Source organism: Homo sapiens, chromosome 8, assembly GCF_000001405.40.
Source record: "Homo sapiens chromosome 8, GRCh38.p14 Primary Assembly".
Taxonomy (NCBI): Eukaryota; Metazoa; Chordata; class Mammalia; order Primates; family Hominidae; genus Homo; species Homo sapiens.
The window spans coordinates 144,477,858-144,503,864 of record NC_000008.11 but is presented as its reverse complement, the minus strand read 5'-3'; the positions used below and the strand labels follow the sequence as shown (position 1 = coordinate 144,503,864).

General features: G+C 58.1%; 2 protein-coding genes and 1 long non-coding RNA gene across 32 annotated transcripts in view, besides 8 other annotated features; 1 reads left to right on the top strand and 2 right to left on the bottom strand.

The window, feature by feature from the left end:
• Positions 1 to 77: part of an enhancer, noted in NCBI's record as "H3K4me1 hESC enhancer chr8:145729171-145729831 (GRCh37/hg19 assembly coordinates)", that runs on past the window's edge. NCBI's record gives its function as "activates a minimal SCP1, AML or CMV promoter by ChIP-STARR-seq in naive H9 embryonic stem cells {active_cell/tissue: H9 hESC(naive)}" and the evidence as "EXISTENCE:reporter gene assay evidence [ECO:0000049][PMID:30033119]".
• GPT (glutamic--pyruvic transaminase) overlaps positions 1 to 797 on the bottom strand; it is a 4,105-nt gene extending 3,308 nt beyond the window's left edge. For both annotated transcript variants that reach the window (NM_001382665.1, NM_001382664.1), the window contains exon 1: positions 740 to 797. The gene's annotated coding sequence lies outside the window, so the exon portion shown is untranslated. The remainder of the gene's footprint in view (positions 1 to 739) is intronic.
• LOC101928953 (uncharacterized) overlaps positions 1 to 9,775 on the top strand; it is an 11,385-nt gene extending 1,610 nt beyond the window's left edge. Inside the window, exons 2-5 of one of the 5 annotated variants that reach the window (XR_007061149.1) lie at positions 4,343 to 4,427; positions 4,669 to 4,965; positions 5,704 to 5,888; positions 6,422 to 9,775. This is a non-coding gene — a long non-coding RNA (uncharacterized LOC101928953). Of the gene's footprint in view, positions 1 to 4,342; positions 5,889 to 6,421 lie in introns of all 5 variants that reach the window. The other 4 variants (XR_007061148.1, XR_007061147.1, XR_007061150.1 and 1 more) reach the window with 4 other exon arrangements.
• Positions 705 to 999: a silencer, noted in NCBI's record as "tiled region #2015; K562 Repressive non-DNase unmatched - State 8:EnhW". NCBI's record gives its function as "represses a minimal TATA promoter and a strong SV40 promoter by Sharpr-MPRA in K562 cells {active_cell/tissue: K562}" and the evidence as "EXISTENCE:reporter gene assay evidence [ECO:0000049][PMID:27701403]".
• On the bottom strand, positions 1,744 to 25,883 carry PPP1R16A (protein phosphatase 1 regulatory subunit 16A). Of its 25 annotated transcripts, XM_047422341.1 has the most exons (15): positions 25,738 to 25,883; positions 14,701 to 14,774; positions 13,653 to 13,831; positions 6,572 to 7,404; positions 6,412 to 6,455; positions 5,648 to 5,869; positions 5,025 to 5,095; positions 4,804 to 4,949; positions 3,666 to 3,769; positions 3,474 to 3,598; positions 3,253 to 3,378; positions 3,104 to 3,179; positions 2,894 to 3,023; positions 2,571 to 2,736; positions 1,744 to 2,345 (listed from the first exon to the last, which is right to left on the bottom strand). In XM_047422341.1, the coding sequence occupies exons 4-15, from the start codon at positions 6,595 to 6,597 to the stop codon at positions 1,962 to 1,964; spliced, it is 1,620 nt and encodes a 539-aa protein (XP_047278297.1). In that variant the 5' UTR covers positions 6,598 to 7,404; positions 13,653 to 13,831; positions 14,701 to 14,774; positions 25,738 to 25,883; the 3' UTR covers positions 1,744 to 1,961. The 25 variants fall into 25 exon arrangements, with proteins under 25 accessions (XP_047278297.1, XP_047278290.1, XP_047278306.1 ...); XM_047422334.1 differs by lacking the exon at positions 14,701 to 14,774 and adding an exon at positions 25,183 to 25,279 and having other exon boundaries at positions 6,412 to 7,404; XM_047422350.1 differs by lacking the exons at positions 5,648 to 5,869; positions 14,701 to 14,774 and adding an exon at positions 25,183 to 25,279.
• Positions 2,661 to 3,020: a silencer, noted in NCBI's record as "silent region_19697". NCBI's record gives its function as "represses an Ori minimal core promoter by ATAC-STARR-seq in GM12878 lymphoblastoid cells {active_cell/tissue: GM12878}" and the evidence as "EXISTENCE:reporter gene assay evidence [ECO:0000049][PMID:35858748]".
• Positions 3,388 to 4,049: an enhancer, noted in NCBI's record as "H3K27ac-H3K4me1 hESC enhancer chr8:145725199-145725860 (GRCh37/hg19 assembly coordinates)". NCBI's record gives its function as "activates a minimal SCP1, AML or CMV promoter by ChIP-STARR-seq in naive H9 embryonic stem cells {active_cell/tissue: H9 hESC(naive)}" and the evidence as "EXISTENCE:reporter gene assay evidence [ECO:0000049][PMID:30033119]".
• Positions 13,478 to 13,977: an enhancer, noted in NCBI's record as "H3K4me1 hESC enhancer chr8:145715271-145715770 (GRCh37/hg19 assembly coordinates)". NCBI's record gives its function as "activates a minimal SCP1, AML or CMV promoter by ChIP-STARR-seq in primed H9 embryonic stem cells {active_cell/tissue: H9 hESC(primed)}" and the evidence as "EXISTENCE:reporter gene assay evidence [ECO:0000049][PMID:30033119]".
• Positions 18,196 to 18,895: an enhancer, noted in NCBI's record as "H3K27ac-H3K4me1 hESC enhancer chr8:145710353-145711052 (GRCh37/hg19 assembly coordinates)". NCBI's record gives its function as "activates a minimal SCP1, AML or CMV promoter by ChIP-STARR-seq in primed H9 embryonic stem cells {active_cell/tissue: H9 hESC(primed)}" and the evidence as "EXISTENCE:reporter gene assay evidence [ECO:0000049][PMID:30033119]".
• Positions 18,896 to 19,595: an enhancer, noted in NCBI's record as "OCT4-NANOG-H3K27ac-H3K4me1 hESC enhancer chr8:145709653-145710352 (GRCh37/hg19 assembly coordinates)". NCBI's record gives its function as "activates a minimal SCP1, AML or CMV promoter by ChIP-STARR-seq in naive and primed H9 embryonic stem cells {active_cell/tissue: H9 hESC(naive and primed)}" and the evidence as "EXISTENCE:reporter gene assay evidence [ECO:0000049][PMID:30033119]".
• Positions 25,578 to 26,007: a silencer, noted in NCBI's record as "silent region_19696". NCBI's record gives its function as "represses an Ori minimal core promoter by ATAC-STARR-seq in GM12878 lymphoblastoid cells {active_cell/tissue: GM12878}" and the evidence as "EXISTENCE:reporter gene assay evidence [ECO:0000049][PMID:35858748]".

Below are 26,007 nucleotides of genomic sequence, written 5' to 3'. Positions count from 1 at the left end.
CCCAGCAGCCCTGAGGGGCTGGCAGAGCTGGCAAGGAGGGACCCCCGAGGCGAGACTGGAGCCTGGGCTGCTGGGATTTACCCCAGCAGGGCTTGGCCGAGGCCTGGCCCTCGTGGCACCCGCATCTTTGCTTGGGCCAGCGGACCTGTCTCCTATTAACTGAGCCAGGCCTCAGGAATCCAGGGGGTGCTGGGGGGAGGGGAGGGGTGTTCAGGCTCTGGGTTCCATCTGGACCCTCCAGAGCTGGCAGCTATGGCCCAGAGGCTGCAAGAGCTCTGTAGCTGGACCTTGGTCCCTGATGAGCACTGCGAGGGGCTGGGGGAGGGGGCTGGAGCCAGGCAGTCCAGCCCTGAGCCCTGGGACAGCTCACACCGTGGCTGCTGTCATGCCCTTTCACCAGGCACCAGCTGGGGGTTGCCCTTGGGACACACCCGAGGCTAGGGGTGACCTGAGCTCTCCAGCCCTCTTGTTCCCGATTGGAGGAGAGAGTAGGAAACGAGCTGGGATAGGCCGTCAGAGCCCCACCTCCACAGGCCTGCTGAGCTGAAAGGCCAGGCTCCACGCTGGCCCACCCCAGCGTCGGGCACCGAAACCTGAACCATGGGGGTCAGGGAGCCGGCCCTCTGAGCAGGGCTGTGGGCAACCAGCCAGGCCCAAGTCGGACCTTGGCTCCTCTGATCCTGCTGGCTGGGAGAAAAGCCATCGGGAGCCCTGGACAGCCGGCCCCCAGGCCTCTCACCGTGCACGTCTCTGTTCCGCTGCCACAACAGCCTCCCCGTGCGCAGGCCTGCCCCTCTGGCCCCCAGGCCGGGGCACAGGTTAACATGGGCCTGGCCCCAGGCAGAGCCAGCCCCTGCCCGCCCCCTGGCAAGGGAGTCCAAGTGGCAGCCCTGGTGGCAGGTGGACCTTGGGCAGCTGCCCCACCCCCCACACTAAATTTAACCAGCAGCCAGCCCTGGCCCGCCCACAGCCCTGTGAGGACACCCTTCCAACCAGGGATGCTAGGGGAAGGGCAGGCCCAAAGGACACTGGGCTGACGGGCCCGTGCTGAGCCAGGAGGGAGAACAGCCCAAACCCACACCACCCAGCACTGGTGGCCACACAAAGCCGCCCACCATGAACAGACGAACCAGCGGTGCCCTCAGCCCTCCTGCTTGAGGCCCCTAAGGGGCCCCCTCACCCTGACACATTGTGCCAAGCCAGCTCAGAGCCAGAGTGGCCAACTGCGTGTCCCCTATGCCAGCCCAGGCGGAAGCTGGCAGCCAGGCCCCAGGATTAAGGCTGCGTGCCAGGAACTGGGGACCCACAACCCCCCCAGGGAGCTTCTGACACAGCCTTGTGCTTGTTTTGCCCCTCTGGCTCTGACACAAGAGTCTTGTGGAAAACACCACCTCCCTTTCCAAGCCATGGTCCCTGGGACCCCCACCTTCCGCCCCTCAGCACAGACACCCTAGGCCCTGGCCCCCATGGAGGCTCCTTCAAAGCACCTGGCTCCTCTCAGGAGAGCAAAGGGTTACGGAGGAGGCTCCAGGAGGCTGAGCATGGGAGGGAGTGGGTGAGGCCCAGGCTTCCAGCCCAGTGGCTGTGAGCCTCACTCCCACACAGCCAGGGCTGCCACATGCCCCAGCGCGCACCTACAGGCTTTCATGCTCACAGGCACGGGTGGCACCCCAGCCAAACAGCACAACCCACTCCCCACTGTGGGACAGCGACCCAGCTGAGACACACAACACACAACGAGGCTCCATGGCAAAACAGCCCTTTATCAAGAGTTGCAGGATAAAAATAGTCTTTGCAGCCAGACATCCCTCCAGGCATGTCTTCTGACCTGAGAGGGGCCAGTGTCCTGTACAGTAGAAGCCGGGGTTTCCGTGCTGCACCCGCAGCACCAGGGCACGCACCGTGGGGAGGCAGCCTTGGGCTGTGCCCGCGACAGGGCCCCTGCATGCTGAGCAACAGCCTCACATGAGCAGGCAGCACGGCCTCCTCTCCACGGGAGCCTCCACCGCCGGGGCTGTGAGCTTGAGCAGGGGTGGGTCCCCGCCTGCCCTGAAGCCACAGTCAGGCTGGGGGGTCACCGTGTCACCAGGCAGGCCAGGCTCAGCTGTCTCAGGGCTCTCGGGCCCCTCAGGTGGGGGTCGCTGCAGCTTGGCAGCAGCTCGCTGGCGCTTCAGGTCAGCCAGGGTGTGGTGGGCCTTGTCGTGGACCAGGGTGTGGGGGGTGGTGCTGTCCAGGGGGCTCAGCTGGTAGGAGACACTCCGGTCTAGTCGCTTGGAGTATAGATGCCGCACTGGGGAGCCCCCTACTCGGCCATTGTGCGGCCTGACCACTTCGGGGTTGTCCTCCTGCGGGCAGTGAAGGTCCCAGAGCCATCAGGAGGCTCCTCCCCCCTCCCTGGCCTTGGGTTCAGGCTGTATGGTCATGAAGGGACAGACAGGAGAGATGGGGCAAAAGCTGGCCCCTGCAGGGCACCATTCCTGACACAGGCAGGAGGGGGTCCAAGCGGAGAGAGAACCAGGGCAGAGCCAGGCCCACCCCTGCGCTGGGCGGAGCAGGGACGGGGCGCTCACCTCCGGGGGCGGCGGCCTGAGCTCTGCGCCTGTCTGGCGGTCATCGTTGTCCTCGGGCGGCTCCGGGCTGGTGGGCGGCGGCTGTTGCCACACGATGGCCTCCTGGGCGTGCTGCTTGCGGTACAGGTCGGTGCGCTGGGTTAGGCTCACCCGCCTCACCACCTTCCTGGGGAGGAGAGAGGAGAGGGAGTGAGGGGAAGGGGAGTGCCCGGAGGACCCCGCCCACCCCCTCGGACTCTGCCCCCAGTTCGGCTGGCACTCCGCCCGGGGCTGACGTCCGCGGGGCCAAGCCCGGGGCGGGGCCTGCTGGGGGCGGCGCTCACCCGCGGCTGCCGGCGCTGGAGGTGCGGCGGCGCAGCAAGGAGCGCTGGCGGCTCTGGGCGCGCAGGAGGGCGTCGTGCTTGTGCTTCAGCTCCAGCAGCTTGGCCCGCACCTCCTCGTCCCCGCACACATCTGAGAAGTGGGCGCAGGCGTCAGGGGCGCCCTCCCCGCCTGTCCTCTCCCCCAGGTGGAGGTGGGCCCCGCAAGCTCACCAAGGGGCGTCTCGTCCATCAGGGACTTTGCGTTCAGGTCGGCCCCGTGCGCCACGAGCAGCTCCACCAGGGGCACCTGTGGACGGCAGGCCGGAGCTGCAGACTGCTGCGCTGGAAGCCCCCTCCCACCTGCTCCCGCCCGCACTCACCTGGCCCCAGTAGGCCGCGGCGTGCAGCGGCTCCCAGCCGTCTTGGTCCTTAGCGCTCAGGCTGGCTCGGTGTTCCAGCAGCAGGGCAGCCGCCTCGCTGAACCCGTTGGCGGCTGCGACGTGCAGCTGCAGGCAAGCGCCCGGCCTGAATTCGGCCCCATCCCCCACCTCCAAGTAGCGAGGCCCCCAGCCCCGTGTGCCCCTCACCCCCCAGCCCTCACCAGCGTGGCCCCGTGGTCCAGGGGGGCATGGAGGTCTGCCCCGGCCTGCAGCCGGCTCCGGATGTCGTCCAGCATGCGCAGTTCTGGCACGGCCCGGGCGGCCTCGATGCTGTCCTGGGTGATGCCTGCGAGGCGGCAGGCTCAGAGGGAGCGCGACCGGCAGCCCTCCCACAGCCGCACCGCCGCACCTACCACGGTCGGCCATGGCAGTCTCCAGGCAGTCCAGCGTCTGCTCATCATCACACAGGTCATAGGGCATGTTCCCGTCGGTGTTGACCGCCAGGAGATTGGCGCCACTGCAGGGAAGACGGACGGGGTGCTGGGCACAAGGCCCTTCCCCGCTTGCCAGGCTCCTCACTTGGAGAAGTCCCCGCCAGGGCCCCTCAGCCCAGGGCTGCCCCTCAGGAGGCACCCTGTCCACCTGCTGCTGGGAGAGGCAGCCTTGGGGCCCATCGGCTGTCCTAGATCCTGTCATTAAGCCAGACAGGCCTCCTGCAGTCTCTATCCATCCAGGGATCCAGGTTCCTGGCACCTCCAGGGGCAGCGGTGCCCCCATAAACATGCATTGGATGGGCCTGCCTGCTGGGGAGCAGGGAGCACAGGGTGGCGGGGGTGCAGGACCAGGCAGCCACGCTGAGGGGCTGCTGAGCTGTGGGGAGCATGGCCCCAGGGAAGAAGGGCGGTGAAGGGGAGCCCAGAACACAGAAGGGGGTGTCTGTGTGCAGTGGAGGAGCAGGCCTACCTGTGGACACCCCACATCCCCGCCTGCCCCGCAGCGCCTGTGTGTGACGCGACCGCCATGCACACCCCACCCGGCCTCACAGGGGCACTCGAGAATGACCGCAGCCCTGACCTCTCTCCCACTACAGATGCCTGGAGCAAAGGGGAAGGGAGGAGGCTCATGGACCCTCCCTGCTCAGAGTTCCCCCCGCTCTACGTCCCTCTGTGTTAAAGGTAAAGGCCCTACCTGTGCTCAGGTACCCTCTCCTCCCAAGCCACCTGGCCTCCTCACTCTGCTTCCCTCCTTAGCAGTTCTGCCCTCCTCACTGACCAAGACATTTCTCTGTGCACACTCTGGGGGGGGGCCCGAGGCCTGCCCTCTCGGCAGGAGGACGAATGCTGGGGAGGCAGGGACCGCGCTGCCCTGGGCACATGCCCATTCCCCTGGAGCCCCAGGCCCTGCTCTCCATGCCAGGACACAGGCAGGGTCAGCAAAGGTGAAGGCGGGAACACAGGAGGCCGAGAGCCACAGATACTGCCCAAGAGGAGCCTCCTGAGCGGCCATCTGAGAGGAAGCCTCTCCCTGCCAAGGACGCCCAACAGGCCCTACCTGGCGATGAGCAGCTCCACCAGGTGCAGGTGGCCGCAGGTGGCCGCAGCATGCAGAGGCGTCCAGCACTCACTGTCACAGGCATTGATGTTGGCCCCAGCCTCCAGGAGCTGCTGCACCATCTCTCGGAAATCATCAATGCAGCACTGCAAACCGTGCCACGTGAGCGACCAGAGCACGGGGGCCAGCCCCCACCCTGCCCACACCCAGTGCAGGCTGACCTGGTGCAGGGCCGTCAGGCCGTCCTCGTTGGCCAAGTCAGGGCTGACCCCACTCCCAAGGAACTGGCGGACTGCAAAAAGGTGGCGAGGTGAGGACAGGGTCCTGCCCCTGGTCAGGTCCTGTCAACTGTGCTTCGGCCCAGGACCCAGGGAAGGACAAGGAAGACAGTGGTGCCGATGGCAGGAGGCACACCAGAGCCCAGGGGTGGGGGCAGAAGCACCAGGCATCTGTCTGGCCCAGGCCGGTCACACTCCCAGAAGCCCTCTGCCTCCACCCACCTGCAGGCCCTTCATGGTGGTGCTCCAGCCCTCCGACCCCCAGAACAGGCCGTGCTCCTGTGTGAGAGCAGCACTCCAACAATCCCACACCTCCCTCCAGCCCAGGAAGAGCTCCCTGCCTGGAGGCTACCACAGCTCCTTCGGCTCTTCCCTGACAACCTGCCAGCCCTGTGTTCATGAGCTCTCCTGGGTCCTCTGGGACCTGACCTGAGGCTCCCCACCACCAGAGCACATCCCTGCTCTCACTCCCCTCCCCATCAAAGATCCCAACTCGGGCCCAGCTCTCGCCCAGGTCACCAGGGTTCTCCCTGACGGTGCCTGGGGTGCAGCAGGAGGGCTCCCACCTTCCCACAGCTCCCTGTGGACCATGGCACCCTCCGCCTCTTCCCTCTGCCTCCAGGCCTCCCGGGAGGGCTCCTGTCCACATGGAAAGATGCAGGCCAGACACTGCCGGCTCCTCTTTACTCTCTGCTCCGGAGGGAGGCAGGAAGGAGTCTCAAGGGCCACCACAGTGCCTCTTCCCCCAAGACTCCAGAGCACCAGAAGTGGAACCCACACAGCTGGGGCTGCAAGCGTGGGGCACAGGTGAGGAGAAGAGAGTCACAAGCAGAGCCTAGGGCAGGCACTGAGAGGGGGCCACCTGCATAGCTCTGTGCCTGCCCAGGGCCTGGCTCTCTCACCCACAGAGGTGGCTGGTCCCACCCTATTTCACGGAGGTGGAGACCAGGGCTCTCCTGAGCAGCCTAACAAGAAGCAGCAATGACTACCGGCCACCCCTGCTCCCGTGGGGCCCCGCACTAGGTTTTTCTGCAGGCTCCTGGGGGTCCACTCATGGCCTCAGCTCACCTCACAGCAGGAGCCCTCTGCATGCAGCCCCCGCCTGAAGGACGGCTGTCCCGCACAGGCTCACCTCAGGGCTGCCCACTGCTTGGGGCTTGCCTGATGGGGGCACCCTGGGCCACCCAGCCTGAAGAGACCAGGCAAGATCTGGGGGCTGGAGCCCAGGAGCTGTGGACAGGCCCAGCCCCCAGCCTTGGCATGAGACGGCACCCAGGTAGCAGGGAGTGGGCCGTCTGCTGGGAGCTGCTCTGGGCTCAGCCACACTCACCTTCTTCCAGGTCATTTCGGGCAGCGGCCTCCAGAAGGACAACACTGGGAGGGAAGAGGACCTGCTTCAGGAGCCCTTGGCTGGCTGCCTCCTTCCGGGGACGCTCCCCAGGACCCTTCTTGCCCTGGGCCTCCTTCTCAGCCTGGGCCCACATCTTCACCTGCTGGGCGCGCCGCTTCTGGGCATGCTTCAGCCGCTCCTGTGTGCTCATCCTGCCCACCATGGGCATCTCTGCCAGCAGCTCCAGGTGCTCGGCCATGGCGGCGGCTGCTTGCCCACAGGGCTGCTCGGGGCACCAGAGTGGGGAGCTTGGGGGCCAGGCTGGGCCTGAGGGGTGGGGCAGCTAGCTGGACTGGCACCCTCGGGGGCATCCCCTTCCCAGAGCTTCGTGCCCTTGGCTGGGTCAGGAGGCCCCACACAATAACCAGGCCCAGGCAGCCCTGGGGGGCATGGGCCGGGGCAGGGAGGGCAGTGTGGGAGGGCACCCCAAACCTGCTCCCCAGGCCAGCCTCTAGCTGTCGACAAGCAGCGCCTCGCCTCCCTCTCGGGGTCAGGGTGCACAACCTATGGGAGGCAGCCCCGAGACCTGGCCGGCCTCAGTGCAGGGTCTGAAACTAATTACCCAGATAACAAGGTTCCAGCTTCCGGGCACCCTGCTGAGGGGGAAGGGAGGGCAGGGCCAACCAGCAGTGAGAGCCCCTGTGAGCCCCTGAGAGTCCTCTTTTCACCTTCTAGGCTCAGGAGCCTGGGTGGGGCCTGGGAGCAGCCATGACCCAGCCCCCAACCCCTCCCAGCTGTGTGCCGAGGTCAGTGCATCAGTACTAACGAGGAGGTGCAGCCGCTGAGGCTGGGGGAGGGCAGGTAGTCAGAGTCCTGGAGTCCTGGCCCCAGGGCCCAGGGGTGAGGCTCTCTAGGCAGCCAGGGCACCAAGGGCACAGGCGGGCCGGCCGCAGTGTCTTCAGGAGCACCTCCTCTTCCAGCAGCTGCTCACACCTGAGAAGTGGGGAACAAGGAAGCATATCAAGGCCGGCTTGAGGCAGGGTGGCCCGGGGGAGCCCCTGCCCTGGGCCTCAGGTGAGACCAGGCTTCCAGCTGTCTCAGGTCCTGCCCTGTGTGAGGCCCACCCTTTGTCCACAGAGAGCACTGCAGGTCAACAGTCCTGGGGGTACGGGGAGCTACTCTGCCCCCATTCTGCCCCAGGTTCAGAGAGGGGCGGGGGAAAGGCATGTCAGGCTCCTCCCACCCACCCTTTCCAGAAAGGGCCGCCCACCCCAGCGAGGCGTTCCCTGCTAGGCTGCTCCTCCAGGGCCAGGCGCTGCCCTAAGGCTGGGCAGGGTGAGGTCTCGTGGAACAGCCTTGAGGGCTTTGCAGGCTACTGCCTTCCAAGGGCAGGCCCCGCCTCCTGGGCCTCCACCTCTCCTGCCTTCCAAGGGTAGGCCCCGCCTCCTCCTGTCCTGACTGATACCCCAGCCTCTCACTGCCCAGTCTCTAGACCTCTTCCTTGATGGGCTCCCACAATGCCTCTGCCATCCTAGGCTGCAATAAAAGCCCCCACCTGGTGCCTGGCTTGAGGCCTATGGGGACAGACAGGCAGGCAGACAGCTTCGGCTGGGGCACAACCCTGCCTATGTACCTGCTATGGCCCTAGTCCTGCCCGACACACTAAGTGTGGTTGCTGGGCTGGCCACAGGCCTCACCTCAGAAGGCACTCTGTGCTTGGCCAGGCGCGGTGGCTCAGGCCTGTAATCCCAGCACTTTGGGAGGCCAAGGCGGGTGGATCACGAGGTCAGGAGATCGAGACCATCCTAGCTAACAGGGTGAAACCCCATCTCTGCTAAAAATACAAAAAAAATAGCTGGGCGTGGTGGCACGTGCCTGTAGTCCCAGCTACTCGGGAGGCTGAGGCAGGAGAATGGCGTGAACCAGGGAGGCAGAGCTTGCAATGAGCCAAGATCACGCCACTGCACTCCAGCCTGGGTGACAGAGCGAGACTCCGAGAAAGAAAGAAAGGAAGAAAGAAAAGAAAGAAGGCACTCCGTGCTCTGCAGAAGATGCCTGCCAGGAGTCCTATTCTCCACCCAGCCAGGCCTCATGGCCATCTACACACTGACCCAACTCTTCACTGCTGGACTTCTACCCAGGTGTTTCATAGAATGCCCCCTTCTTTCAGAAAGGGAACTGTCCTGGGCCAGGTCAAATTAAGCCAGTCAGGTCCTTCCTGCTCAGGGGCCCCCAATTTATCTGGGAGCCCCACTTTACAGGTTCAGCCTACTCTAGACATAGTCCCCCCCTGTAGGCCTAGCCTCAGAGGCTTCCTGAGGACACGGCCAATAAGGCCAGTGGCCCTGACCTGGCTTTCTGCCTGCCAAGTAAAGAGCTTTTCCAGGCAGTAACTCTCCCTCCGAGCAGCCTGCTCCTAAGCCTGGCCAGCTCTGTAGACCGCAGAGGCCAGGGCAAGCACACACTGGCCAGACACCCTGCCCAGGCTCCCAAGTCCTCCCCTTGCCCTCTAGAGACACAGCATGGGTACCAGAGAGGCAGGAGAGCCAGTCTTGCAGGCATGCTGCCAGGTCCGCATCCATGAGGACAGAGGAGGCAGACCACACCTGGCATGCCAGAGCCCTCCCTCCCTGCCAGCCACTCACAGCCCACACCCTCTTCCTGACAGGGCTGGCAAGAGGAGATCCTCACCTTTCTGTCATTAGCATCTCTGGACCTGCCAGAGAACCCACCTGGGCAGTAGCTACTCACCCCCACCCCAACCCAAAGAGATCACAAGCCAAGAGCAAGGCAGGCTGCCCTTGCCCATCCCCAGTCTCTCTCCAGCCACGGGAAGGAAAGATTAAGATTTAACCGTCAGGGAACAGTGGCTCATGCCAGCACTTTGGGAGGCCAAGGTAGTAAGATCACTTGAACCCAGGAGTTCAAGGCCAGCCTGGGCAGCAGGGTAAGACCCTGTCTCTACAGAATAATTTTAAAATTAGCTGGTGGCATGCGCCTGTGGTCCCACCTCCTCGGGAGGCTGAGGTGGGAGGATCCCTTGAGCCCGGGAGGTAGAGGCTGCAGCGAGCTGAGATCACACCCTGCACTCCAGCCTGGCAGACAGAGGGCGATCCTGTCTCAAAAAAAAAGATTTAACAGACACCACCTACTGTCCCCAGCATCTTACAGAACAAAAGATCGGCGGGGCACAGTGGCTCATACCTGTAATCCCAGCACTTTGGGAGGCCTAAGCAGGCTGGTCGCTTGAGCCCAAGAGTTCGAGACCAGCCTGGGCAATACAGCGAGACCCCATCTCAATTTATATTATTTAAAAAATAATTAATGTAAGAGAAATTAAAACAGATTTTTAAAAAGGAAAAAAGATGTTCTGTTGCCCATGTCCTACAGAAGAGAAAGCCTGAGCATGGCAGCCACACTCCCGACGGAACGCCTGTCTTGTTTCTCATTCCGAGGCACATCCGTGAAAATTCATCAGAGAACAGCAGCTGGACAGTGGGAACCCCCCCAGTCCCCCTGGCTGCAGAGGGAGGCCCACGGGCGGGGAGGCTCTACCTCCCCCACCCCACCCAGCACGGCTCACAGGGCACTTGGCCCCACCCTAGCAGGCCCACCTTCCTAGCTGGAAGCTGCCCAATGTCTCCATGGGACTCTGGGCAGGTTCCTGTCCTGCTCGAGGGTCCAACTGCCTCCTCTAAGAGAAAACGAGGTACCCAAAGTGAGCCCAGGGCCCCCCAAGAGTGGGTGCCAGGGGGTGTCCCAGTGCCCACCTCCCCCCAGGCTGAGCCCTAAGCGTCCCCCTCTGGCCTCCCTGCCCAGGAATCACCCTCAGAAGGAAGCAGCCAGCCGAAGGCCCACGGCAGTGGGCTGAGGGCTCCAGAAGGAAAGACTGCCTCCCTCCTACCTGAACCTTGGCTGCCCTAGCAGAACTTCTAGTGGAAGCTTTGTCTACTCCTCCCAGCCACAAGATGGACCAGGAACAGCCCACCAGAGCTGAGAAGACTTGCCCCTTGGCTGAGCCATGAGAGCCTGGTGGCCAGCTCGTAGTCCCACCAAATGGACACACCCAGGCTGAGGGGGCTGGGCAGGGCGGCTCCCTCTACTCCACAAACCTTCCCCCAAACCTCCTTGGAATGTCAAACAGATTCCCGGGTCGGTTCATTCCAGTTCTAAACAGATAACCCGGTGGGTTCATTCCACTCCTCAAAGCCCAGGCCAGCTGCCTGAGTGTGGGACCCAGGCGGGAGGAGCCCCATGGAGGATACTGGGCACTGTCCCCGACCCCCACCCACCGTCCCCTCACTGCCTACATACCGCTGGGCCATGTGGATTCAGGAAGGGAGGCCCAGCCCAAGCTCCCAGGAGCCCCCGTGAGGACAGCTCCAGGCCCGAGAGCCTCAGTGCCCTCTCTACTCCCATCACTGCCTCAGGCACCTGCCATCACCCCATCTTCCACATGGGGAGACCAAGGCCAAGCCTAAACCCAGAGCTGCCCCGGTCACTACTTTACCACAGTACCCATCTCCCAGTGTCCATGGTGCGACGAGAGCCCACAGCCTGAGGGGCGGTGTCACTCTATTCACCCAGAGATAGGGACAAGGGACAGGTAGAGGCCGCATGCCATTCAAAGAAAGAAAAGAGAGGAAAGGGGCAGGGGAAGGAAGAGTCTCAGAGAAATGGTGAGGAGGGTGCAGAAAGAGGATGGGAACTTGCTTCTACAGGCGGAGCGAAAGGCCGGGGACCTGCTGTAGGCTCCCCTTTCACAGGGATGTGTGTACGGTGCACCTCAGTAAGGTGCACCTCCAAACTTAAAATGTGCACCTAGGCACAGTGGCTCACGCCTGTAATCCCAGCACTTTGGGAGGCCGAGGTGGGCAGATCACGAGGTCAGGAGATCGAGACCATCCTTGCTAACAAGGTAAAACCCCATCTCTACTAAAAATACAAAAAATTAGCTGGGTGGGGTGGCAGGCGCCTGTAGTCCCAGCTACTTGGGAGGCTGAGGCAGAAGAATCACTTGAATCCAGGAGGCGGAGCTTGCACTGAGCTGAGATCGCACCACTGCACCCCAGCCTGGGTGACAGAGAGAGACTCCCTATCAAAAAAAAAAAAAAAAAAAGTACACCTTTTGACAGCCCCATTTCTAGGACGCCACCCTACTAAAACCCCCAGAGCAGGTCAGCTAGAGGGACTCACAGTGCTGGGGAGCCAGAGGGAAGTGAGCCTGCCTGCCCTCTGGCCGCACATCGCAGGGTGAAAGCCCGAGTGCCACAGTGCAGCGGGTGGCATCTGGGCGGTCAGCACGGGAGCCCCGGCAGTGACGGGCTGGCCCAGTGCCCCCACACCACCTGCCCTCCGGCTGGTTCTGGGGGCCAGCCCAGCGCCCCCACATTGCCTGCCCTCCAGCTGGCTCTGGGGGCTTTAATAGCCCAGTTATGCTTAGGCTTGGTGGAGTTGGTTCCTGTAACTTATAACTAAAAGACTTGGTTGTTTTGTTGTTGATTTTTTATTATGTTTTTTAAGAGACAGGGTCTCACTCTATTGCCCAGGCTGGGGTGCAGTGGTGCAATCACGGCTCGCTGTAGCCTCGACCTCCCAAGGTCAAGCAGTCCTCCCACCTTGGCCTCCCACGTAGCTGGGACCATAGGTGGGCACCACCACACCCGGCTAACTTTTTTTTTTTTTTTTTTTGAAACAGAGTCTCGCTCCATCGCCCAGGCTGGAGTGCAGTGCTGCAATCTCCGCTCACTGCGAGCTCCGCCTCCCAGGTTCATGCCATTCTCCTGCCTCAGCCTCCCGAGTAGCTGGAACTACAGGCGCCTGCCACCACACCCAGCTAATTTTTTGTATTTTTAGTAGAGATGGGGTTTCACCGTGTTAGCCAGGATAGTCTCGATCTCCTGACCTCGTGATCTGCTCATGTCAGCCTCCCAAAGTGCTGGGATTACAGGTGTGAGCCAGCATGCCCGGCCTACACCCAGCTAATTTTTTAATTTGTTTTGTAGAGACAGTGTTTCCCTATGTTGCCCAGGCTGGTGTCTGGAATTCCTGGTCTTAAGCAATCCTTATGCCTTGGCCTCCCAAAATGCTGGGATTATAGGTATGAGCCACCACACCCGACCAGATTTGATTTTATTTGTAGCAATATCTATGAGATACGGAGCAAAAAATGGGAAAATACCTAGATGCCCATCATTCTGGGAAAAATATCTGTGTAGCCATTCTGTAGAATAACATCTATACATATACGTCTGTTAACAAGATGAGGTGGGTCTCAATGTCCATGGGAGAATGGCTATGGTATCTTGCCCGTGGGTGCAGAGGCTGCCAGAGCCTGGCTAAAGGTGTTACATACACACACAGACTGGTTTGTTTGATTCTGTTTTGTTTGCTTCTGAGGCAGGGTCTTGCTCTGTCCCCACGCTGGAGTGCAGTGCTGCCGTCACAGCTCACTGCAGCCTCAACTTCCTGGGGTCCAGCGATCCTCCCACCTCACCCTCCCCAGTAGCTGGGGAGGTGCACGCCACCACACCCGGCTAATTTGTTATTGTCTTTTTTGTGTGTGGAGTTGGGGTCTCCCTATGTTGCCCAGACTGGTCTCAAACTCCTGGGCTGACGCGACCCTCCTGCCTCAGCCTCCCAAAGTGTTGTGATCACAGGCATGCATCACCATGCCTGGCCAGACTTATTTGCATGGGCAGAGAGGCTGTCTGGGGGTTAGTGGCTGCAGTGCTGGACTCTCAGAAGGACTGCTGACCTTCTGAAGGTGCAGTCTCTGGAGACATGCCTCACCTCAGCTATAACCAACCCCAGTGCTGGATGTCCCGCCAGAGTGACTGTTCACCGTTCATTTGGAAGGCTGGATGGGAGGCTTCTCCAGCCAGACTGCTGGTCTCTCCCCAGCCCTTGGCTGGGCAGACAGCAGGTCACTTTCTTTTTTTTTTTTTTGAGACAGGGTCTCGCTCTGTCACCCAGGCTGGAGTGCAGTGGCATGATCTTGGCTCACTGCAACCTCCACCTCCCAGGTTCAAGTGATTCTCCTGCCTAAGTCTCCCAAGTAGCTGGGATTACAGACGCCCACCACCACACAGGCTAATTTTTGTATCTTTAGTAGATACGGGGTTTCGCCATGTTGGCCAGGCTGGTCCGGAACTCCTGACCTCAGGTGATTTGCCTGCCTTGGCCTCCCACAGTGCTGGGATTACAGGCGTGAGCCATCGCGCCCGGCCCCAGCAGCTCACCTTTGAAGACTCCACCGTTCATGTGCCTGATGGCACCTGCTCGACCCCTGCCACCAACCCACAGCGGTGTCCACACGTGGGCTCTGTGTCCCGGCCAGTGTCTTCCACTAGACGACAGGCTTGCTGAGAGCACAATCTGCAGGCCCCTCTTCTACGACTCCTCATCCGTGTGCCAGTACCTGGAAAAGGGGCCTTCATCAGTCTTTGTGAAGGACCGAGGGAGCCAGGCAGATGCTGGCAAGGCAGGCACAGCTCAGTGCGGCCAAGGAGGGGACAAGCTCAGGCCAAGGCTCCCTATGGCCCATGGCCCGCGGCTCACAGGGTCCACTCTGAAAAGAAGCCAAATGTCTAGAGACCTCCTGAAATGTGACAAGGACAGCACCAGCCATAAAGCAGGTTGGTGGCTGCTGGAGAGGCTCCATTTGCACTTGTCTGGCTGCGCCCTGGGGAGGGACAGTGGGAGGAGGCCCTGCACTTAAGCAGCCTACATCTGGGGACTGGAGCTGAGTTGCAGGATGCACATCAGCACGTCACACCACGTCTACTGAGGTCAGCACAGAAGGCATCGGGGTGTACAGGGCAGAAGAGGAGGCTCTGGAGGGGCCTCTGCAGCCACATGAAGCTCTGGGAGGGAGGCCCCAGCATTAAGTTTCCTACACACAGGGCATCCCCGGGGCCTGCAGACTGCTCCAAGGAAGCAGCAGTTTAGGGGAAGTGGTGGCTGGACGAGTGAGTGGTGATGGGGTCAGGAGGGAGGGTCTGAGTGTCCTCCAGGGCCCAGTGTGCAGCTCACCCCCTCCCAGACAAACCCCCCTCCCAGTCCAACCCCCCTCAGACCAACCCCCCTCAGACCAACCCCTCTCCCAGTCCAACCCCCCTCCCAGACCAACCCCCTTCCCAGTCCAACCCCCCTCAGACCAACCCCCCTCCCAGTCCAACCCCCCTCCCAGTCCAACCCCCCTCCCAGGCCAACCCCCCTCCCAGGCCAACCCCCCTCCCAGACCAACCCCCCTCCCAGTCCAACCCTAAGAAGTTCATCCCAAAGCACCTGCGTAGGCATGAAATACTGCAACCTCCAGCTCCTGGGTTCAAATGATTCTCCTGCCTCAGCCTCCTGAGTAGCTGCAATTATAGGTGTGTGCCACAACACCCGGCTAATATTTGTATTTTTAGTAGAGAGCGGGTTTCACCATGTTGGCAAGGCTGGTCTTGAACTCCTGACCTCAAGTGATCCGCCTGTCTCAGCCTCCCAAAGTGCTGGGATTACAGGGGTGAGCCACTGCACCAGGCCAGGAGGGGGCTTCTGATCCAGGCTCTCTCCACCCTCCATCCTGAAACCCTCCCCTGGGGCTCTGTCCCCAGCGACACCATGTCCTCCCTACTGAGGGCCCTCTTTCCCCAACCCCTGTGCTCCTGGCTGAGGCCTGGAGTCCCCCTCCCATCCTCTCCCTGAGCATCCCAGCTGGAGCACACATCATCAGGCACCAACCACCCAGCACCAGCCCTCACTGTGGCTTCACCCCCGCCCATCGTTGCCCAAATTCCTGGTGGTCTAATGTTCTTGTGGACAAACCTTTGTGGACTGCCTATCCCCTCTGAGCCTTGACCTCTTCTCTACACCAGTGTCCTTATCTTCTGGCCAGCTGTGCTCCATCACCACCAGTAACTGCAGCCCATGCCTGTCACCTCCATTCAACATCCCACTCTCTGCCCATCGCCTCCTCTCTGCCTGGCTCGCTACTACAAGCCCTGACTCCAACACTCCAGTGCCTCCCTCGCTGCCATGCCCTCACCTTGCCCCATGCCCTCCTGCTCCCACAGCCCCAGTGACTCTGAACATAGCAGAGCCACTCCCTCAAGGGCTCTGACGCTTGCAGAAATCTGCTTCCCTTGCCTTTTCTCTCCTGCCCTCCCAGACAAAGCAAATTCCCTGGAAAGAGCTTCCCTTGCCTTTTCTCTCCTGCCCTCCCAAAGCATATCCCCTGGAAAGAGCTTCCCTTGCCTTTTCTCTCCTGCCCTCCCAAAGCATATCCCCTGGAAAGAGCTTCCCTTGCCTTTTCTCTCCTGCCCTCCCAAAGCAAATTCCCTGGAAAGACAGAGGCTGTCAGGGGAGGATGTCCACTCCTACTTAGAACTGAACAACAGAATAGCACCCAAAAGCCTCAATGCCTCGGAATAAGCCTAACAAAAGATGTACAGAGTAAACCACAACCATATCTTTATGGGAAGATATAGGAGGAGACATCTCGTTATATGTTGCAAAACCCAGAACTGAAAAGATGTCATTTCTCCCCAAATTCATCCAAGATTTGACGTAGTCCCAATCAAAACCCCAACAGTGTGAGACTCACAAGCTAATGCTCCACTTATATGGAAACACAAAAGGCCAAGAACACTAGGGATAAGCCTGAAAGAGAACAAATTTGAAGTACTTACACTATTAGATGTCAAGACTTATTATATACAGTTTGGTAAGTAAGACCTAAGTTACTGGCTTAGGCATAGAGAAATAAACCAATGGAATACGGTTGAGTCCAGAAAATTGCCAGATGAGGCAGCTCACACCTGCAATCCCAGCAATTTGGGAGGCCGAGGCAGGAGGATCACTTGAGCCCAGGGATTCAAGGCCAGCCTAGGCAAAACAGGGAGACTCTCATCTCTACAAAATTTAAAAAATTAGCCAGGCATGGTGGTGCACCCCTGCAGTTCCAGCTACTTGGGAGGCTGAGGTGGGAAGATCACTTGAGCCTGGGAGGCAGAGGTTGCAGTGAGCCGAAATCAACACTGCACTCCAGCCTGGGGGACAGAGAAAGACTCTGTCTCTGACTGTTTTGTTTTGTCCCCAAAACAAAACAGAAATAAACCTACACATGTGTAGACATGCAATTTATGACACTGCTGGGAGTGGAAAAGCCTTCAATAAATGGTGCTGGGGCCAGGCGCAGTGACTTACGCCTGTAATCCCAGCACTTCGGGAGGCTGAGGGGGAAGGATTGCTTGAGATCAGGAGTTCGAGACCAACAGGGTGAAACCCCGTCTCTACTAGAAATACAAAAAATTAGCCGGTTGTGGTGCCACACACCTGTAGTCCCAGCTACTCTGAAGGCTGAGGTAGGAGAATCGCTTGAATCTGGGAGGTGGAGGTTGCAGTGAGCCGAGATCACACCACTGCACTCCAGACTGGGTGACAGAAAATAATCAAAAAACAAAAAAACAGAAGAAAAGAAAAGAATCTTGACCCCCACCCCAGGTGAAATGCAAATCTAACGTAAAGGTAAAATAATAGCACTTCTACAGAGTGGTGACACCAAAAGCAAAAGCACAGTCTATAAAACGGAAAACGGAAAAACTGGACCTTGACAAGATTAAAAACTTTTGCCTTGCTAAAAACCCTGAGAGGAGGATGAAAAGACAGCTACTGAGTGAGTAAATATCCACAGACCACACACAGAACAAAGGACTGCTGTCAAGAACACACGAGTCTCAAAAAATCAGCAGTAAAAATGAAACGATCCAATTAGAAAATGGGCAGAGGATGCAAAGACACACCTCACTGAAGAGGATACACAGATGGCAAATGCGTCCGTGACAAGATGCTCAACATCACCCGCCATTCGTAAAATGCAAATTAGAGCCACAGCGAGATACCGCTGCCCACGAATCCAAACGGCAAGGATGTGAGGACAAAGGAATCTCACAGGAGCTGATGAAAACCTGTGAAATAAAACAGCCACCACTCTGGAGAGCAGTGTGGAAGTTTCTTAAACCAAAACAGCTCAACATGCAACTCCCAAACCACCCAGCAGCTGCGCTCACGGGCCTTTATCCCAGAGAAATGAAAATTTAAGTCAGGCGTGGTGGCTCACGCCTGTAATCCCAGCACTTTCGGAGGCTGGGGCAGGCGGGATCACATGAGGTCAGGAGTTCAAGACCAGCCTGGCTAACATGGCAAAACCCCATCTGTACTACAAATACAAAAATTAGCCAGGTGTGGTGGCGCGAGATCACACCACTGCACTCCAACCTGGCAACAGTGTGAGGCTCTGTCTCAAAAAATAAAAAAAATTAAGTCACACAAAAAACTACATAAATGTTCATGGCAACTTTATTCATAATAGCAAAAAACTGGGGGAAAAAACCAAATGTCTTGTAACAGGTGAAACATGATGGTCCGTCCATCCATACCATAGACGTTTCCTCCAGTCAAAGGAACACACTAGTAGTGCACACAACTGGATGGACCTCAGGACATCACGCCGACCTCAACGCCCACACCCTGCAGCACTCCATTTATGGAGCATTCTCGTAATGGTGAAACCATACAGATGGAGAACATACCAGTGGCTCTCAGGGGTTCAGGCTGGGAAAGGGAGGTGGCTGTGGCTGCAAGAGGGCAGCTCAAGAGGTCCCTATGGTGGCTGTGCTGCATCTTGGCCATGGGCTCACACAAACCCTACAGTGACAGATGCGCAGAACTAAACCACACACACACAGGTAGACACATGGAAAGCTGTGAAATCTGAATAAGGTCAATGGAGCACATTGGTGTCAACATCCCCTTGAACTGCTGTACTCCATTGACAGGTGCAACGTTACCACATGGGTACCCGGGAAGTCTACAAGGGATCTCTGAGCCATCTCTTTTCTTTTTTTATTTATTTTTCTTTATCTATTGTTTTTTTTTTTCCCGAGATGGAGTGTTGCTCTGTTGCCCGGGCTGCAGTGCAGTGGCGCAATCTCAGCTCACTGCAAGCTCTACCTCCTGGGTTCGTGCCATTCTCCTGCCTCAGCCTCCCGGGTAGCTGGGATTACAGGTGTGTGCCACCACGCCTGGCTAATTTTTTGTATTTTCAGTAGAGACACGGTTTCACCATGTCGGCCAGGCTATTCTTGAACTCCTGACCTCAAGTGATCCACCCACCTTGGCCTCCCAAAGTGCTAGAATTACAGGCATGAGCCACTGCGCCTGGCCTTTTTTTTTTTTTTTTTTTTTTTTTTTTGAGATTCTATTCTTTTTTACTGGTTCTTTTGTCAATCCTTGAGCCTGTCCCACATGTCCTCCTCACTATGGCTTCCTAAGGAGCCTCCTCTCTGGTCCCACCTCTGAGGGGGCTGACTCCTACTCACACTCTGGTCTCAGCCTCCTTTCTGGCCCCTGGCATGAGATTCTTCATTCTGCCTCGGCCTCCCGAAGTGCTGGGATGACAGGCGTGAGCCACGCACCCGGCCTCTTTCCCAGTGATCTCAGTGCTCCTCAGATTCCCCCTGCATAACACCCAGCAGCAGAACCATATGAAATTGAAACTATTCCACTATTTTTTATCTACAAACACAAATCATTATTTACCTCAGTAACAGCTGCCTGGCTAAAGCCCTGTGAGGGAGGGAAGACCCCGTGATTTGGACATTTGCACACATCATGCTTCCAGCCCGGGACAGGAGATACGCGTGGACCACACCAGGGACTGGCCCGCTAACCATGAGCTCTCACGCAATGTCTGTCAGGGGCTGGAGAATTGGGGAAGCCTCTCCCCAGAAACCAGGGGAAGCGTTGCATCTCCCTCTTCAATTTCCTTTCCCCTTGCCACCTGGCTTCAAAATAAATCGAATAAACTAACTCACAGCAAGGTGTCAAAGGCCCAGATGCCTAAATGAAAGAAGCTGGCAGCCTGAGGCATCTGCATTTGAAAAGAGACTCAACGAGAACTGAAGATAAAAGCCAGCCCTAGACCAAAAGAAAGGGAAGAGAGGGCAGGGAGGGCTCCTAGCAGCCCCTGCAAATCACACCTTTCTAGAAGCCAGGGCCACAAGCAGCCTTCCCTATGAACTGCCTCATTCAGCCTCATAGCTCTAATGGGCCATAACCCCCACGGAGTAGATGTGGCAACTAAGGTCTGTCAAGTACAATGGTGAGGAAACCAAAATCACAAAAGTGAGCTTCAGAGGGGTCGGCGCTGTAACCCAGGATTTGCTCTGACTCGGTATTCACTTCCTCACAGAGACACAGACCTTTCGGTCTAGGTGGGGCTGTGGGAAGGGGACCTGCGGACAGACGTGCCAGTGGCACAGGGCCTGGGAGTGTGGAAGGAGGCAGCACTGGGACCGTGAGGGTCCCCAGCCTTAGGACAACAGAGGTGTGGGGTCTAGACAACCAACCTAGGGCGCAGGTGACACAGTAAGCCACTGAGATGCCTGTGAGCCTGGGACAGGAGCTGGAAAGGCATTTCCAAGAAAGAGAGCTCACAGTCAGCCAGCACATTCCTAGAAGTTGGAAGGAAAGATGGTAGGAGCTGTCAGAGCAGAGAGATGAGCAGGGGAAGGTGGCCAAGGAAAAAGAAAACAGGGAAGGGCTGGGCATGGTGGCTCACGCCTATAATCCCAACATATGGGAGGCCAAAGCAGGAGGATTGCTTGAACCCAGGAGTTTGAGGCTGCAGTGATCTCTAATCACACCACTGCTCTCCAGCCTGGGCAACAGAGCAAGACTCTGTCTCAAAAAAAAAAAGAGACCGGGCGCAGTGGCTCATGCCTGTAATCCCAGCACTTTGGGAGGCCAAGGCGGGTGGATCACCTGAGGTCAAGAGTTCGAGACCAGCCTGACCAACAGGGTAAAACCCCATTTCTACTAAAAATACAAAAGCCGGTCGTGGCGGCATGCACCTGTAGTCTCAGCTACTCAGGAAGCTGAGGCACGAGAATCACTTGAATCCAGGAGGCAGAGGTTGCAGTGAGCCAAGATGGTGCCACTGCACTCCAGCCTGGGCGACAGAGCAAGACTTCGTCTCAAAAATAAATGAATAAATAAAAAGAAATAAAGAAAACAGAACGACACAACACATAGGATGACAAAGTTCAAAAAATTCACGTGATGAAGGAGACTGATGATGCATGAAACAGGAGGAAAGCCTTTGAACTTGAAGCCAGCCAAGAACATCATTTGTAGGAGGCAGGAATTGGGACACTGGACCCACAGATGAGGAAACCTACTTTACACACACTGCCTGGTTCTGTAGATAGAAAGACTGACATGTGAACATCGTTACAGAACAGAACGTAACTCTGTCAGCCACACAACATAAAAAAGAAGGCATATCCTACTTCTGGGTACATACGCAAAAGAAATGAAAGTTGGGCCGGGCGCGGTGGCTCACACCTGTAATTCCAGCACTTTGGGAGTTGAGGGGGGCGGATCACCTGAGGTCAGGAGTTCAAGACCAGCCTGGCCAAAATGGCAAAAACCCGTCTCTACTAAAAATACAAAAAAATAAGCCGGGCGCGGTGGCTCACGCCTGTAATCCCAGCACTTTGGGAGGCTGAGGCGGGTGGACCATGAGGTCAGGAGCTCAAGACCATCCTGGCCAACATGGTGAAACCCGTCTCTACTAAAATTACAAAAATCAGCTGGACGTGGTGGCGGGCGCCTGTAGTCCCAGCTACTCGGGAGGCTGAGGCAGGAGAATCGCTTGAACCCAGGAGGCAGAGGTTGCAGTGAGCCTAGATCACTGCACTCTAGCCTGGCGATAGAGTGAGACTGTCCCAAAAAAAAAAAAAAAAAAAGTTAGCTGGGCATGCTGGCATGTGCCTGTAGTCCCAGCTACTCGGGAGGTTGAGGCAGGGAGAACTGCTTAAACCCGGGAGGTTGAGGCAGGGAGAAATGCTTAAACCCGGGAGGTTGAGGCAGGGAGAACTGCTTAAACCCGGGAGGTTGAGGCAGGGAGAACTGCTTAAACCCAGGAGGTGGAGGTTGCAGTGAGCCAAGATTGTGCCACTGCACTCCAGCCTGAGCAACAGAGCAAGACTCCATCTCAAAAATAAGTAAATAAAAATAAAATAAAAAATAAGAAAACTATAAACTGGCCAGGAGCGGTGGCTCATGCCTATAATCCCAGCACTTTGGGAGGCTGAGGCAGGCAGATCACTTCAGGTAGTCTGGCCAACATGGAGAAACCCCGTCTCTACTAAAAATACAAAAATTAGCTGGGTGTGGTGGTACATGCCTACAGTCCCAGCTACTTGGGAGGCTGAGGCAGAAGAATCGCTTGAACCCGGGAGGCCAAGGCTGCAATGAGCCGAGATGACACCACTGCACTTGGCAAGACTCCATCTCAAAAAAAAAGGCGGCGGCGGCGGCGGCGGCAGCCGGGCACAGTGGCTCACACTGGTAATCCCAGCACTTTGGGAGGCCAAGGCGGGCGGATACGAGGTCAGGAGTTCGAGACCAGCCTGGCCAGCATGGTGAAACCCTGTCTCTACTAAAAATACAAAAAATTAGCAGGGCATGGTGGCAGGCGCCTGTAGTCCCAGCTACTCAGAAGGCTGAGGCAGGAGAATTGCTTGAACCTGGCAGGCGGAGGATGCGGTGAGCCAAGATCGTGCCACTGCACTCCCGCCTGGGCAACAGAGCAAGACTCTGTCTCAAAAAAACAAAAAAGAAAAAAGAAAAAGGGAATCAACTACGGATACACAAAACCACTTGAATCTCTAAAACATTGTCATCTGGCAAAATAAATCAGACACAAAAGTATTCATTCCATATGATTCCATTGATGTGAAATTATTTTATTTTTTGAGATGGAGTTTCGCTCTTTTTGCCCAGGCTAGAGTGCAATGGTGCGATCTCGGCTCACCGCAACCTCCGCCTCCCACGTTCAAGGGATTCTCCTACCTCAGCCTCCCGAGTAGCTGGAATTACAGGCATGCGCCACCATGCCTGGCTAACTTTTTGTATTTTTAGTAGAGACAGGGTTTCTCCATGGTGGTCAGGCTGGTCTCGAACTCCCAACCTCAGATGATCCACCCGCCTCAGCCTCCCAAAGTGCTGGGATTACAGGCGTGAGCCCCCACGCCCAGCCAATGTGAAATTCTTAAAAAGGGACGCCAAACCTACAGTAATAGAAAGCGATCACTATTGCCTGGGCTGGGTGTGAGGAAGGGCTTACCACAGAGGAGCACGAGAGAACTTTTGGGGGCAACGGAAATGTTTTATATTTGGATTATGACGTTGTTCACAAAACCCATCAAACAGGCCGGGCGCGGTGGTCACGCCTGTAATCCCAGCACTTTGGGAGGCCGAGGCGGGCGGATCACGAGGTCAGGAGATCGAGACCATCCTGGCTAACATGGTGAAACCCCGACTCTACTAAAAAAATACAAAAAATTAGCCGGGCGTGGTGGTGGGCGCCTGTAGTCCCAGCTACTTGGGAGGCTGAGGCAGGAGAATGGTGTGAACCCAGGAGGCGGAGCTTGCAGTGAGCCAAGATCGTGCCACTGCACTCCAGCCTGGGCGACACAGCATGAGACTCCGTCAAAAAAAAAAACCCATCAAACAAAACCCATTAAACAAAACCCATCACACAAAACCCATTAAAATAGGTGCATCTTACTGTAAGTTACACCTCAATAAAGTTTGATGTAAAAAATCAAAGCATGGGCTGGGCACAGTGGCTCACGCCTGTAATCCCCGCACTTCGGGAGGCCAAGGCAGGAGGATAATGAGGTCAGGAGTTCGAGACCATTCTGGCCAACACGGTGAAATCCCATCTCTACTAAAAGTACAAAAATTACTGGCCGTGGTGGCATGCGCCTGTAGTCCCAGCTACTTGGGAGGCTGAGGCAGGAGAATCACTTGAATTCGAGAGACGGAGGTTGCAGTGAGCTGAGATTGCACCACTGCACTGCAGCCTGGCTACAGAGCAAGACTCTGTCTCAAAAAAAAAAAAAAAGATATAAAAATTAACTGGCATGGTAGCATGTGCCTGTAATCCCAGCTACTGGGGAGGCTGAGGCAGGAAAATCATTTGAACGCGGGAGGCAGAGGTTGCAGTGAGTGGAGATTGTGCAACCGCACTCCAGTCTGGGCGACAGAGTGAGACTCCATCTCAAACAAACAAAAAAACAGAAAGCCACATGGTCAGCAAAGCCTAAAATGTTTGCTGCCTAGCCCTTCACAGTAAAAGCTGGCCAACCCCTGGTCTAGCACATTTATTTGGTGCTACCAGCTTCATCATCACCGCCACCTTCATCAGCTGCTCCTTCTGTCTGGAAAGTTCTTCCACCGGATCTTAGGACAGCATGCTCCTTTGTGGGACTCGGATCACATCTTAAGTGCAACCTCCTCAGAGATCTTCTGTGGTTACCTTGTCATTCTCTTATCTCATCACCTTGTTTTAATTCTTGACATGCCAGTTACTGTTTGTTTCCCTGTTGCATCCTAAGAACTTGGCCAGTTCCTGACTCATAGGCAGCACTCAGTAAGTGCAGTGAGCTGAACAAGTGAACAGCTGCTGAGCCTCTGGCACAGGGGTCCCAGCACAGGATGTGACATGGAAGGCTCTGAGCTCCTGGCTGAGCAAGTCTGATGAAAAGGCCTCCCTTTAGGTGTGCGTGCACCAGTGCCAGGAGAGCCTCGGCATGAAAGAAGGGCCTGGAACTGCCACCCAGTTCTCATTTTGGCCAATGGATAGATGTGGCACAAGTGCTAGGGTTAGGACACGCTCGGGGAAGAGCAAGGGTGGAGCTGGGGGTGCTGGTAGTCTGTGGGGTCACCTGAGACTGAGGTTCCTAAGCTGCATGCAGTGGAGAGCTGTATCAATCGGCTGTTCATTCAGACCAGAGGTTCAAGAATCCCTAGAACACAGACCCCAAAGTACAGTCATACAGGAGGAGCCCCCTTGCTAGGTGCCAGCCCAGGCAACCCTCGGGGCAAAGCAGAGTCCAAGTGCATCCCAAGCAGGTGAGGGATGAGGCCAGGACAGGCCAATCAGAGACACGAGGGATGGCCCCAGCCAACAGGGAGGAAATCCAGCTCGAGCACCAGGAGGGGGAAGGACCCCCTAAAGCCACCCCCATCCCAACCCCAGCCCGGGGGACTTGGGGCAGGGGCAGGCAGCTGGCCCTGTAGAGCTCTGAGCGTCCACCACAGTGACAGGTATGGAGCCAGCATGTGTGCAAGTCCACCAGGCAGCCCCCAGCCCCTCAGGCAACCCAGCCGCACGCCGCCGGAGCTCCTCTCGGCGAGTCGTGGCTCTGGGTCCCTGAATCAGGCAGCGCAACCAGAGGCCTCTTCAGGAGGCCCAGGGTACTGCAGGCAAGACCCTTCTCCCAGAGAAACCCCAATACGTCCAGGAAGCAACTGGGGCGCCAAGACGCCCAGGAGGGCTCACTGCTGGACTAGACACACTTTGAGAAAGGCAGCGGTACCCCCGCCTCCACCTCCACCCCCAGGTAGGAATCCAGGAAGAAAAGGAAGGCACAGAGGTTTGGGGAAGGCTAACTTTGCTCTGTCTCCCCTAAGCCTAGAATGACTCCGTACACGGCTCCCCTCTCTGCACCCATGGAAATTAATCCCACCGTGCCCCGGGCCTCCGCTCTGGTACAGACAGGGGCCCACACCAGTCCTGGACGCTCCCTCCCAGGCGGGGTGCTTGCTTAGTTAGTAATTCTTGCCCTGATCCCAATTCCTGAGGGGTGGTCCGGACGCCCCGCACTACAAGTGAGGTCATTTGAATCCCTGAAAGTTGAAGGAACTTGCCCCAGTGAGACTCCACTTTCTCCTTCAGCCTAGCTCCAAGGCCCACACAAAGCTTAAGTTTGGGTAAGTCCCTTCTCTGCGGCCTCGATTTCCTCATCTGAAAATGAAGACAATTCCGGAGCTGTCTACCTGACCGACGGGCTGCGGAGAATCCACACACCTTCGCCTTGGAACAAAACGCGAAGCGCCCACCGGCAGCCTTCGGCTCCCTGCCTTTCCTGACCGTTGGCACCTGCTGCCCTGGGCCTCAGCCAGCAACGCCCAAGGCGGCCCGGCGGGACCTGTGCCCTGGGCGCCCGCGTGCCGGCAGCCGCGTCTCCCGAGGGCCCCTCCCCGGCCTCCTCCGTCGCCAGCCTCCTCTCTCCCTTCGGTCTCCTCCTCCTCCCGCCCTTCCCGGCCTCCTCCCTCTCCTCTGCCTCATCCTTCCCCGGCCCGGCCTCCTCTCTCGGTGTCGACCCAGTGCCCCTCCTTCCCGGGCCCGCCACTGCTCTCCCTGGCCGGGGCCCCTCTCCCTCGCTCCGCTCCCGCCGCAGGACCCGGGAGTCCGCGCCTCACCTCGCGCCCCGCGCCGACCGCCGCACAAGTGGGTCCGCTGGCTTCCGCGGGTCAGTGGGCCCCGCGCTCCCTGAGGCGCTGCGGGGGCGGGCCCCGCACCCGGCCCTCGCCATGGCAACGCTACACTTCCGGCCCGCGGTACCCATAGCCGGAAGCCGCGGTGCCCCGTGGGAGCCGGGGGCGGAGCCTGGGAGGAGGAAATGTCGGGGGCGGGGCCTGGGGAGGGACGGTCGGGGGTGGGGGCCAACGCGGACAGCTGCGGGCGGCCGG

What these genes read in the sequence shown, in the direction of transcription:
- PPP1R16A (XM_047422334.1), bottom strand. Translation starts at nt 6,670, where the DNA reads ATGGCCGAGCACCTGGAGCTGCTGGCAGAGATGCCCATGGTGGGCAGG. An exon ending in CCGAAATGACCTGGAAGAAG is followed by an intron (nt 5,870 to 6,411) that starts GTGAGTGTGGCT and finishes CCACGCTTGCAG; the next exon opens with CCCCAGCTGTGTGGGTTCCA. An exon ending in CCACAGGGAGCTGTGGGAAG is followed by an intron (nt 5,096 to 5,647) that starts GTGGGAGCCCTC and finishes ACCTTTTTGCAG; the next exon opens with TCCGCCAGTTCCTTGGGAGT.